Raw genomic sequence first — 13970 nt, 5'->3', positions numbered from 1 at the left:
TAGATAATGCATGTTAGAAGGCCAATGGGGGCCATCAAGTTCAAGGGTTTTCAAAAGAAATGGAATCTATTGGATCGTAAATCCCATTTAACCATCATTTGTGTAGGTAGATACAGAAAGATGGGAAAGTGAGGGTTGATTATCCATTTCTGCTCTTCTTTAGTCAGTCAAGTGACCTAGGCTGATGGGTTAGTTTATTTCTATGAGAAGAGGAGAAAAATGAATGAGGAATCACCATGCTGCCAACAGCAGGAGCCAGGCAACTTGAAAATACTGTCTGAAGAGGTGAAGGAACAAGAATAGGAACAGAAAGCAGAAGGCGTTGGAGGGAGTTTCTTGTGAGAAAAGTAAACCCAGAGAAATGAATAGGCTTTCCTGAGGCTTACAGCAAGTTAGAGGTAGAGCTAGTCAAACCCGCATGGCTGTCTCTTAACCAGGACTGCCCCTTCCACCTCACGATTTCACCTTCTTCTTTCATTCCTCCTTTCAGGTATTTGTTTGGAATTTGTATCATAGTGTTTATTTAGTTCATTAAACATGAAATAACTGGGGTATAATTCATTTTGTCACTTGCATAGCCCCTTGAAAACTCCATATCTTTTTTCACTTAGGAAAACTCCTCACTTTCTATCAGAATATACAGAGCATCACTAGGGACTTGGCCTGTCAGAACCTTGATTTCTTCCTTAGAGCCTTAGTGTGATTCCTAAGTTTCTTCCCAGCTTTGACAGTCCATCAGTTCATGGGATAAAAAAGAATTCCACCACAGGACATATTTAGGGGAAAGTTGAACTTCTCCCTGTTACAGTGTGAAGATAATTCCCTCCCAGGGAGGAGATTGGATATAATTGATATAGCTCCCAGGTTGGGAGATATACCATGGCTAGAGGCCATGGCTGGTGTCACAGAAGTTGAGCAACTACTGGATCCCTGCTAGAACAAGAAAGGCCAGTGTGCCTTAGTATTAGTCTATCAGCTGGGGATAGGATTGGGCTTCAGAAGGACCACTGCAGAGAAGAAGCAGAATGGAGGAATTTCAGGCAAAGGAAAGAGGAGGGCTTGCTACAGTGGCAAGTGAGGGAATCCAAAGGGCTGGGATGAGGCTGGCAGGTTGAAACCCATGGTTGTTCATCCACAGAAGTGGAAGAGAAGAGAGAAAATATGGCACAGATGCAGGTAGGGGCAGATGTTACAGAGATGGAATGGGGAAGAATGAAGGGCGTAGGGAAATATACAAGTTGAATATTCTTTATTTGAAATACTTGGGACCAGAAGTGTTTTGGATTTTGAATTTTTTTGATTTGGAATATTTGCCTATACATAATGAAATATCTTGGGGACGGGACCCAAGTCTAAACACAAAATGCATCTATGTTTCTTATAAACCCTATATCCATAGCATGAAGGCAATTTTATGCAATATTTTTAATAATTCTGTGCAGGAAACAAAACTTGTGTACAATGAAGCATCAGACAATAAAGGTGTCACTATCTCGGCCACCTATGTGGGCAATCTGTGGTTGTTTGGAATCACCATCATTCCTGACTCTGAATTTATGTGCTACTGATAACCATTTATTTTCTTATAATTATTCACACATAAGGACTTAACAGTAAAAAACGTGACACACCATTAATATAGTGAATAAATACTGTGTCTGGGGTAACTGTGCCATTCAGTGTCATCACCAGAATACCTGGATCTGCTGTTAGGCAAGAGCAGCAGCAGACAGCTGCAGGCTCCCAGTCTCCACCCAGAGTGCTGGGTTTTATTAAAAGGTTAGTGTGCACTGAATTTTATTTATTTAGGTGGGAAGAAACATCAGAAGCAGTTGACAGACCAAGAAGTGGGTCCTGTAGGGAGGAGGAGGCCTTCTGCTGGGTGACTTTTATAAATGGCCGAGAGGGTTGTTTTCTCCTTGGGGACACTGAAGAAACTGTAGGCTGTGCACCCGCATTTTGACTGTGACCCATCACAAGAGGTCAGGTGTGGAATTTTTCACTTGCGGCATCACATCAGTGCTCAAAAGGTTTCGGATTTTGGAGCATTTAAGATTTTGGATTTTTGAATTTGGGATGTTCAACCTGTAGTATGAATGCTGGGCAGCATGAAACACTCACTTGAGATTAGTGATCATTATTTTAAAGAGAGATCTGTAAAGATTAATTACTGTGTGGTTTTTCTCTAAGCCACATTCAACATTGTGGATGTAGGCATGGAAGGGCAGACTTAGAGTTAACCAAGACTGGGTTGAACCAAGTGAGTGTCAAGAAGCTGAGAATGTATTTAATATGTAAGGTTGTGACAATGATTATAATACTTGGCCATGGAGTGTAAGCTGAGGATGAAGGGAAGTGAGGGTGTGAAAGAGGGAAGAAACAGGACTAATGAATCGTGGATCTGGGAAGGGTGCAAAGATTGTTGAAGTTGAACGATTAGAGGAAATGAGCTGGAAAAATGAAGTGGTTACTGGAAAATGGGATATTTCAAACTGATATCTTTAGAGGGAAAGCAATTTTTTGATAATCAAAGTCTAAGGTTATCACTGTGGGAATGACTGGCTGAGGTTCAGTGGAAGATGAGATCATGGCAGGGGTAGAGATCATTGCAGGGGTAGAGATTGGACCGGGCACCAGGATGTTGGAAAGAGCATCTCTATGTATATTGACATCCCCAAGAGTGACGGCAGGAGGCGTGGTGGAGAGAGTGACTGAGCTAGAGCCACAATCTTTACAGAAGGAGTGGGAATGACCAGAGAGGCCATAGGAGATGGCAATGAGATGGAGCATGGGGTTAGGGTGAGAGAATGGTCTGAGAGCATCAATGAGAAACACGAGGCTGTTTTCCAGTGCTGACCAAGTGGTGGGAGACATGTGTGAAAGGATTGTGAGATTTGGATGGGTGGGACAGTTAAGTTGGAATCAGAAAATGTAATTTATAGAGAGGCAAGGAAATTAGACTGCAGGGAATCCTGGGCTTCCCATAGCAAATGACGTGAACTGCATGCGGTAAAGCAGCATTCTCTCATGGGAGGATGAAGACAATCCTGTAATCTAAAGCTGGGTCATGTGCGTGGAAAGCTTTGAGGCAACTGAAACGAAGTTGATCTAGGCATGGAGGTATGTGTGCACAATCCTTATTAGTGTAAGGCTGCTACATTTTTCTCATGGTGAGATCTGTTTTCCAGAAATCGTCTTAGAGGAGGTAGGTCTTAGGAAATAGAAAAGAGTCATCTAATAAGACAAGTCTTTGAAAAGCAGGAGAAAAACAATGATACCGTAAATGCATGGTGACATATGGGCATTTGCCTTTTTAATTATTTATGTAACTACCTTTCCTCAACTTACTCATTTCTCAGTATTTCCTTGTGATACGTGATACGGCATTTGTATATATTTTCTACATTTCCATCAATCAAATATTTACAGTTTTTGCTCATCTAATAGTTCAAACAAAAAATAATAGAGATTACTTTGTTCTTTTATTTAAAATAAAGTTGTGATGAAAGTTATATTTGTGTTTGAGTGTTTGTGTTCATCATGAATCTCTGAGGTCAGGGCCTTATCCTTAGTGTCAGGTATGTGACCACATGGTTGGCAATCAATACATGTTTTCTTGATAACAACACAATAAATAATAATTTGAAAACCAAAGCCAGTTTGTTTTCAATAGCCTTACAAAGTTTATGCATTGAGGTTTTTTTATTACTGCAGACGATGAAAAATTAACTAAGTCAGACTCTATTAGACTGTGAGCCTTTCAAAGCCTGGGGCTTCATGGCTTATTCATGTAACTCTCCCCAGTGCATTGACTGGCTCATGGTAGGATGCCCAGTAAATATTGGTTGGATTAGAAGGTAGACAGTTGCAAGTTTCTTGAACACCAATTACATGCCAGGTACCATATTAGTTTCTTTACTTATATTATCAAAATATTGCTTATAACAGCTCTATAAAGTAAGTAGGTGCTATTACCCGACTGTCGACATGAGAAATCTGAGTGAATGAATTTAAGTAAGGTGCCCATGGCCACACAGTCACCAGTGGTAGAGGAGCATGAACACCTAGATGTGACTGACCCCAAGGTCCACGGCCTATCCGTAGACTCCCTGCTTGAGAGGGAAGGAACAGAGGGAGGAAGGTGGGTTAAATAAGGAGAGAATATGAAAGAAAAAAAGTGATTAAACATTTTCAGAAAGTATTTTTGGTTCTTGAAGTTAAACAAATAAAAGTTGGTTTTACCAGAATTCATTCTTAAAGGCTATTATGGTAGCACCTTTGTAAGTCACTTCTAGCAGCTCAGCTGTTTGAATTATTGGCTGTCTTAGCAATTTTGCTTTCAATGTTCATTCTGCAAGACTTAATTAAAGTCATGAAACCTAGATGGCTCTTATAGAATGAACATTGAAAGCAAAAGGCACAATTATCAGGATGTAGCTACACATTACCACCAGGTCTGGAAAATATCAAAAAATAGGATTTATGTTTCTGTCTGTGTGAAATGTTATCAGCCATCTCATAGTTTGGCTAACACCCCATAATCACTGGCCTGTGGGGACATTTAAAAATATCTGTGTAACTGAATCTTATCTAAAGCAAATCCAACCCAAACCTTTATCATAGCTGGCTAATCCATGCAGAGCAATAGCTTTCCCACTAATCTTGGAGTTATCTAGAATTTTCTCTGCTCTGTGACAACATTCAGGTCATTAGCAAATGCCTAGTTCTTAGGTCTTACAAATTGAGTAATCTTTCAAATCCCTTGGTTCCAAACTTACCCATACAATAATGAGTTCTCCATTCAGAATCCCTGACCACGTATTTTTCTTCATTGCATATTGTGTGACCTGTTAATAGGAGAGACGAAGCCATGTTTGTCTAGATAGCAAGTCTGGGAAGAAAAAGGGCTTCTTGCTGAACGTGAACAGGATCTGCATATCTTAACATTCAGCACTCAAACAAAAATTCATGGGAGAAAAAGAAGGTAATACAACTGCAAATTAAATATTCTTTAATTAGAATATTTATTCTAAGGACTCTTCTGAGTAGAGTTGAGTGCATTAGTTTTCACATCTTTAAACGGGGCAGTAGTAGGGGGAAATCATATCACTCACAGCGATAACTATCATCTATTTAAACATTTCTTATTCTTATGCTTCTAAACTGCCCAATGTGAGTTACAATGTATACTTAGTGATTTGGTTAATTTCATTTTCTCCCATGAGCTGGTTGAAAATAAATAAATTCAGGAAACTTTGGCTTGTAATTTGTCAAGCCTCATTAGACAGTGTGTGATAAAAGAAGAATACTGATTTTAAATTCAAAAGACCAGACCCTTCCACAAGAATAGTCTCTTTTGAGAATCAGTGCCCTGGAAACTACATCTGCATAACCAGGTTGATGTGTACATCAAATGAGATACTCTGAAGCATTCCTTTTTAAATTGATAAGTGTCACATAAATACATAGTGTTGTGAAATAAAAATTCTGTGAAAAACCAATGCTGCTTCATTTAAAGGTATTATAACACATTTAAAATCTGGCTTGCCAGACAGGTCACAGAAAAAACTTTATTCCTGTGGGCAGATCTTAAAGAATGTGAGGCTCCTTGGGATGTAAAACTGTTGCAATATAAAATCTGTGCTAGGCTCACAAAATCAAACAAGTTATAAATTATCCGAACCTACTTTTGTCTTTTTTGTCTATTGCATACTGGGCCAATACACTTCTAGGTTCCCAGTATCACATTTAAAAGACACACAAGGCCAGGCATGGTGGTGCATGTCTGTAATCCCGGGAGGATTATATGAGGCCAGGTGTACAAGACCAGCCTGGGCAACATAGTGAAACCCCATCTCTAAAAAAGAAAGAAAGAAAGAAAGAAAATCAATCAGGTAGGTGTGGTTGTGCCTGCCTGAGGTCCCAGCTACTCCAGAGGCTGAGGTGGGAGAATGACTTTAACCCAGGAGTTTGAGTGACAGTGAGCTATGATTGCACCTGTGCACTCCACCTTGGGTGACAGAGGCAGACCCCGTCTCTACAAAACATAAAATAAAATAAAAAAGACACACAGGTCCAGTGTTGCTGAAGGACTGGAAACTGGAACTAGGGGAGAAGTTGCCACTAAGGTAATAAAGAACTGAACCCATTCCGTGGTTCAACAAGCCGATCCTATTCGTTGTTTTGGTTCTTCTCTGTGGCCTTAGTCATGTAACTATACTATTAGCACTCTGTTTCCCTGTCTTTAAGATTGGATTAATCTAAACTGGATTGATTACCAAGTGGATGTGTGACACTTAGGGAATAGGAAATGTCCAGGACAGCTTCTTAGTGATGGTAATGATGGCAGTAGTCATGGCTCCTACAGTGGAGAGTGTCTCCCAAAGAGAGAGACTCAGTCTTTCTGTGTCTGGCCCTGATGGTTTCAGGGAAGCTGAAACCTCCAGAAGGTGAGTCTTTGCTATCGCAGGGAAAGCCCTATTCATCAGAATCAGAATTAAACAGCAGTCGAGAGAAGGATTGTCCCTTAAATTCCTTTGTTGAGTAAATAAAATCATTTTTACCTCTCTCTAGGGGCTCATTTCTTAGAAATTCTAGTATTTAAAACTGGAGTAAGAAATTTTAAGTTTGCAACTATAATCCAATAGATAGAAAAATAAATCTTTTAAGACCTAGAAAATCTCTGCATGAATTTTATTTCTATTGTGCAATCTTAAAGAAAAAGGAGGCTCCTTGAAATATAATTTTTTTTTTTTTTTGAGATGGAGTCTTGCTCTGTTGCCCAGGCTGGAGTGCAGTGTTGCAATCTTGGCTCTCTGCACCCTCTGCCTCCTGGGTTCAAGCGATTCTCCTGCCTCAGCCTCCCAAATAGCTGGGACTACAGGTGTGCACCACCACACCTGGCTAATTTTTGTATTTTTAGTAGAGATGGGGTTTCACTATGTTGGCCAGGCTGGTCTTGAACTCCTGACCTCAGGTGATCCACCCCCTCGGCCTCCCAAAGTGCTGGGATTACAGGCATGAGCCACCATGCCCAGCCTGAAATATAAAATTCTTACAATTCTTTCTTTCCACAAATTAAATATAGTGAGGTCTAACAAATACAGAGATGTCCTCTAAGAGCAGGTGGCTGGGAATAGATGACCTGAATGTTCCTTCAAGCTTATGTTCTAGGATTCTGTCCCCGGAAAATGAGTGTGGGTAGAAAAGGAGCTGAGAAAGTTCCCCGCCATGACGTGGAAGCTGCAGGAGAAGTTTGTGGGGCAGGGAGGGAGGGTGGTGAGAATCCCACTGTGACCTTCTTGAAAATGACAATCATTCAAAAACTTTTTAAAGTCTTTTTTTGACATTATTTCATTTGGTCACAAAGCAGCCCTTGATGTAACCAGTTGGCAAGAGGCAATACAAATTTAGAATTCTAGCTTTAAGAAAAATGTTATGGGGGCCCTCCTCCTGTTAATATCTCTACCACTATACATGCAGGAGGATATCAGAAGGGGCTACCAAGGAAGCTCGCTGGGGCTGAGCCCTGTCTCACACATCTTGTGTTCCCAGCCTGTAATGCGCACTCTGGGCTGTGGAAGTAAACTGCTCAGAGCTCAGAAATGGCCATATCTGATGGTCTCCTTTTTGTAGCCCTGATCAATTCAGGAATAACCTTATGTGACCACAGAAGGAAATACATTTTCTAATAATCCAACATATGTATCCCAACGTTTGTGCCTATAAGTCCCATCTGCAGTTTGAAAAGCACAGGCTAAGCTCTATCTATGTCTAAGAATGTCCACTTTGTGAGTGAGAGCGTGATTGTGCTTTATGGGTGGGTGGTTTGAGCTTTGTCCCTTCTCTAACATCCCCCTTGGTCACCTCAGTGCTAGGTATATGCAGAACGCCAGCTCAGTGCCTGGCATGCTGCAATGGCTAATGAAGGCAATGATCCTTTTAAAACTCAGCTAAAATATATATTCAGCATAGTTTTAAACATTTACAATGTTTTAAATGTAATCATATTGATGAAATTTTGGATTTTTTTATGAATCCAGTTAGATTCCTTTTTGTAGAATCCAATTTGATTATTGGGAACAAAAACTGCGGTTTGTTTCTCAAAGTACTCATATCAGTTACTAGAAGGGAAATTGAAGGACCAAGAAGCCCAATCTTGAAAATGTGTTGTGCGTTTCGACTTTAATGGCAATGTTCTCAATGGAAGGTTATAAATCATCCCAACCTTTTCTTTCAGAGCAGCTTTTCTGTTGCAGGGGACCATGTTTAACGTCCCTTTGAAGTCCCATTATCTCCATGTTTCCTCTTATCTCTTGGTAAACAGCCTGTACCTTAGTTCTGGTCCCTATCACTTTGTCCCTGAAATGAGACTGTGGGTGGCTGGTTTCCCCATCGCTGGTCTGTTCCCCTTAATCCCAGAGGCTTCAGGGGAATTTTCTTAAGTACAGCTTTCCTCATGTTTCCCTGGGACTTGAAAATCTCTTTTGCCTGCCTGTTACCTACAGAATTAGGTTCAAATGTTTCCCGTTTGATCTAACTCTAGCTTTCCCTTCCACTCTCACACTCTTCATGGATCCTGTCCTCTGGCCCAGGCCTCCCAGCCAGGAAGGTACCTCTCATGAGGCCTTTTGGGATGCAAAAAAAGGGAATATTTTGGTTTGATTTTTGGTTGCTGGACCTTCTGTTCAGGCAACCATTCTTCGGTTTCCAACTTTCCCAAGAAAATGCCAACCCTGCCTCCATCTTGGCAGGTGTGTCTACCAGCCACACAAATTAGCTACAATCCTGTGCCTCTCAGAGAGAATATATTAAAATTCACTGCCACTCAATACTTAAGAATTGTCAAAACTAGATGAAGATAAATTGTCTTAGTTCAGACTGCTGCATCAACTATACCATAGACTGGGCGGCTTAGACAACAAACATTTATTTCTCACAGTTCTGGAGGCTGGGAAGCCCAAGATCAGGTGCCAGCAGATCTAGTGTCTGGTGAGGGCCCATTTCCTGGTCTGCAGACAGCCATCTTTCTGCAGTGTCCTCACATAACAGAGAGAGAGCAAGTTCTCTCATGTCTGTTCTCCTGAGGGCACTACTCTCATTCATGAGGGCCGCACCCTCATAACCCAATCACCTCCCAAAGGCCCCAACTTCTTGTTTCTTTGTTTGTTTGTTTTTGGGACGGATTCTCGCTCTGTCACCAGGCTGGAGGGCAGCGGCACGATCTCGGCTCATTGCAACCTCCGCCTCCCGGGTTCAAGCAATTCTCCTGCCTCAGCCCCCCAAGAAGCTGATACTACAGGTGCACGCCACCACGCCCGGCTAATTTTTGTATTTTTAGTAGAGATGGAGTTTCACCATGTTGGCCAGGATGGTCTCGATCTCTTGACCTCATGATCCACCTGCCTCAGCCTCCCAAAGTGCTGGGATTACAGGTGTGAGCCACTGCGCCCAGCCAGCCCCACCTTCTAATACCATCACCTTGGAGGATAGGGTTTCAATACATTAATTTGGGTGAGACACAAACATTCAGTCCATTGCAGAAATTATACATCTCAAAGATTTCCTGAAAGGTATCCAGTTCTCCCAGTCCTCAAGAGTTTCTAGAATCTACTCTTGGATGATGCAAGGCCTCTGGAGAGCCCCATATGTAAGGCTGACTTGTTTTGACTACCTATAGAAATACTTTTGCTTTATTGCACTTCAACCATATTCTAGCGTCCTGCACCGTGAAATATTAAAACAGCCCAGCAAACCTTGTGCTTGCACTTACTGTGCAATGTTATTAAGGATGTTGTTCACCATATTGCACAATGTTCTCTTTATGAGGATCCTGGGGATATCATCTCTCTGGTGTCTTTGCCAGAAATAGCTATGATCCTTCCAAGGAATTAGTTTGTTTTTGCCTTAAAGACACAAGAAACCATTTATGTTTTCTTTCTACATTGGCTTCTGGAAAGCCCGGAGTGAAATCTGTGGATCACTTTTAGTAAATGTACTGGGTATCCTAGAATGCAATTAGGACCCTTGACATTGTTTCTGTGTTCGTATTTTTCTTACCTCTCATTTGCACTTAAATTTCTTCATTTGCTTTCATACTATGTATACCTTTTAGATTAAGTTTATTCCTTCTTGAAATTAGGTGGGAATAAATAAGTCTGGCTGGGCTTGGCATTGGTAGGTGTGACAAAGGTGTGACAGTGCAAACACAGCCACAATTAAAGGTGCCAAGAGTCAGTTTCAATGGAAATACCAGACAGAGACAGCCTTGCCAGCTTGACATTCATCTCTGCCGGGGCTTCGAAAGGTCACACTGTGTGGGCGGGTTGACCTTCAGCATTTCCTTTGGAGGGAATATGCTTTGAACCTTCTGAGTCTTCCTGAGAATATGGGCCTTGATTTACATTTGGACAACGCAATTAGTGCATTTTCCAAAATTACTGGGTTTTATTATTTTCATATTCTTTTTTAATATGATCCTGAGTGTGACTCTTTCACTCCTAAGAGCAGATTACCCAAGACTCACCTGAACTAAGCTTTTCAACTGTTGGCAGCTACGATGTATCTGTCAAGTCTAAGCCATCCTTCATGGCAAACTGTTTCCTCAACTGCCCTTTCACCAGTTTAGAGATACCCGTGTGTTCCTCATAGTCTACTGTGCTATTTCACTCAGATGGTCAGAAATTCAAATTCGCCATCTTCTCACATACACAGACACACACATGTGCATGGATACACAGATCACAGACTCACACACATACTCATGCAATCAGCCCTCCCAGTTTAATGAAAAGGGAAAAAAAAAAAAGCCCTGGCTTTCAGCTCAATGTGATAAATGGTAGAACTGGATAGAAGAATAAGGAAGGGGAAAATTGGAATGAAACTCACATTTTTGAGGTCTGCTGTTTAACCAGTTTTGCTAATTTCTTCAAGTGAAAATCCTTCTTTATGCTTTTTCTTTGTGTGATATATTTCTGAAAACTGTCGGCTGGGTGCGGTGGCTCACACCTGTAATCCCAGCACTTTGGGAGGCCGAGGTGGGTGGATCACCTGAGATTGGGAGTTTGAGACCAGCATGACCAACAGGGAGAAACCCCTGTCTCTACTAAAAATACAAAATTAGCCAGGTGTGGTGGCGCGTGCCTGCAATCCCAGCTACTTGGGAGGCTGAGGCAGGAAAATCGCTTGAACCCGGGAGGCGGAGGTTGTGGTAAGCCAAGATCGCGCCATTGCACTCCAGCCTGGGCAACAAGAGTGAAACTCTATCTCAAAAAAAAGAAAGAAAGAAAGAAAGAAAGAAAACTGTCTTATTTCCTCCATTGGAAGAGAATTTCTTCCTAAATTATATTATTAATGTACAGCAAGCCAGTGTTAATGTGTCACTGTGGCAGGCTGAGACCCCACCCCCACTGGAGCCTAGGGTTTGCAATCCAAGGGTCCCAGTGTGCAGAGCAGTCAGGTTATGGTGGTCATTACTCTCTGGATGCCTCACTGTTTATAGTCCAGTATGCATTTCTATACATCTTCACCAGAGGGAAGAAAAGTTGTATATTGGAGAATGAGTTAAGAGACCCTTGAAATGTTTAAAAAAAAAAAAAAAAAAGAATGCTTTCAGCCAAGAGCCAAAGCAAGGAGGTCTGGCAGAAAGACAAATGGAATCCGAAGATTTGGGATCAGGCTTTAACTGTCTCCCTTTTTATGAATGCAGCCGGCTGGGCTTTTCCCCTTCCTGACCTGGACTCCTATTTCATAGACTGTTATCCTAATAGCTCTGAATGTGCATTACGATTTGAAGGTTGTAGTTTTCAATCTCTGGCATATTATGGTCATCTCACTCCTGGGTTCTATATAGAGGCTTGGTCTAAACATAGCCTTTCTTTATCTGCCACCATATGTAAGGTAATACAATATACTGCTATGGAGTTCCTCAATTGGTGCCTGTTCAGACAGAGATCTGGATAAGAACTGTTTTATTTGTCCATTCAATCAATGCATCAACAACTTTGTTAGTGCCTACTAATTACCAGACACTGTGAATAATGATATGAGATCCCAGAAAAAGTGAATAATGAATAGGGGTGGGAGTGGGTGAAGCGAAATGTTTTGTGTTTTAATTAAGGCTCCAAAGACATGTAGAAAGATTCAAAGACATTCTTTTGGCCATGAGTGAATAACCAGTACTGAAATATTCTTACTATCATAAACAATTATAAAACTGAAAAATTACATTAATCAATACTTTTCAGATATTGGACAACAGGCAGTGCAGGGCCCTTATCATTGAGAGAAAGGAAATACACAAAATGAGCTTCATTACTGCCTCCACTTTCTGCCCAGAGGTGCTTTCTTGTTTACAGTATAGGAAGGTGGAGCCCAAACAAAGTACTGTGGTCTTATTGAACTAGGGGGATAGAATCCGAGTCCTGGGCTGCTGAAGTATGTGGACTTTGTAGGTCAGAGTACCAGACAGGAGTGAATTGCAAAGAGGAGCTGCAGAAATCTGCATGGAGATCCCCTTTCGTGATTAGATGGATACTAACCTGCTCTTGCATAGGCATAGCCTGACAGAGAATGGTAACTGGAATGACATGATATAAATAAAGACTATGTAGGCTACGCAGTGCTGAGAAATGTAGAAGCTCCAAATAGCCAGTGAGGAGACCTTGCTGAACATCTTGGGAATTTAGTTGAGACCCCCAAAAGACCAGGCTTTAGGAGTAGAGATATTATCCCCCTGGAATATGGACTACTCTGGACCTTCCCAGCCAAAGATTTAAAACAAGCTTTAAAAGGATCAAGCTGACAACCTGATGGGCAGATAAATTAACTTCCTGACAGAACATGGCTCTTTTAAAAAGGAAGACAAAAAGTCCACACTGCCAGGACTATAATATCAATGATATCTAGCATATAACAAGAGTTTCTAGATATGCAGAGAAGCAGAAAAAAGTGACTCTTAACCAGAAAAATGAAACTATAAATACAAACACACTCAAAGATTTTATAGTTAATAGAAAAAAGTTTCCACCAGGTAATACTATGTTTAGGATTTCAAAGGAAAAATGATCATAATGAATGAACATATGGAGAATATTAATAGAGAGGAAAAGTACACCAAAAACTTAAAATTCTAGAACTGAAAAAAATACAATGTCTGAAATGAAAATTCAGTGAGTGGGCTTAACAACAACAACAACAGAAAAGATCCATGAACTCAAGGCTGTAGAGACTATCCAGTCTGATGCAAATAATGAAAAGACTAAAGAAAACTTACAGAGACCCAATGTCTTGTGAAACAATATCAAGTATTTTAACATATGTGTAATTCAAGTCCTAAATGGAGAAGTGTGAAATAGGGGTGGAAAAGCAACTGAAGACATATTATCCAGATTTTTTTTAACTGATGAAAAATATCGATCCACAGATCCCAGGCCCTCAACACATCCCAAGCAAGACAAACACAAAGAAAACCAAACCTAAATGTGTAATAATCAAATTTCTGAAAATTAAAGGTAAAGAAAAATTATAAGCACATGTGAGATTTGTAATCGTCATCTTACCAAGAGCATGAGAGAGTTTAAAAACACATTTGCATTATATAGAGAGAACCAACAGTGTGAATTATCTCTGACTTATCAAAAGAAATCATACAAGCCAGAAAACAATGGAATAATATTTTTAAGTGCATAAAGAAAAATCAAAAACAAAAACTATCAACTCATAATTCTACATCTAGGAAAAATATTCTTCAAGAATAAAGTCAAAATTAAGATATATTTTCAGATTAAAAAAGCTAAGATAATCACCAACTGACCTGCACTATAAGAAACTTTAAAAGGCATTCTTCAGGCTAAAAAACAATATTAGATGAAAAATCGACTCTACACAAAAGAATGAAGATTGTGAGAAATGGCAAATATGTGAGCAAAGATTTTTTTCTTTTTAAAATCTTTTAGAATTGATTGTTTAAG

General features: G+C 40.5%; 1 protein-coding gene across 6 annotated transcripts in view; it reads left to right on the top strand.

The window, feature by feature from the left end:
• PCNX2 (pecanex 2) overlaps positions 1–13970 on the top strand; it is a 343895-nt gene that overhangs the window by 283942 nt on the left and 45983 nt on the right. The window lies entirely within an intron of this gene.

This window comes from Homo sapiens, chromosome 1 (assembly GCF_000001405.40).
Source record: "Homo sapiens chromosome 1, GRCh38.p14 Primary Assembly".
In the NCBI taxonomy this organism is placed as follows: Eukaryota; Metazoa; Chordata; class Mammalia; order Primates; family Hominidae; genus Homo; species Homo sapiens.
The sequence above is the reverse complement of the archived record's forward strand: the minus strand, read 5'-3'. Positions and strand labels throughout refer to the sequence as shown.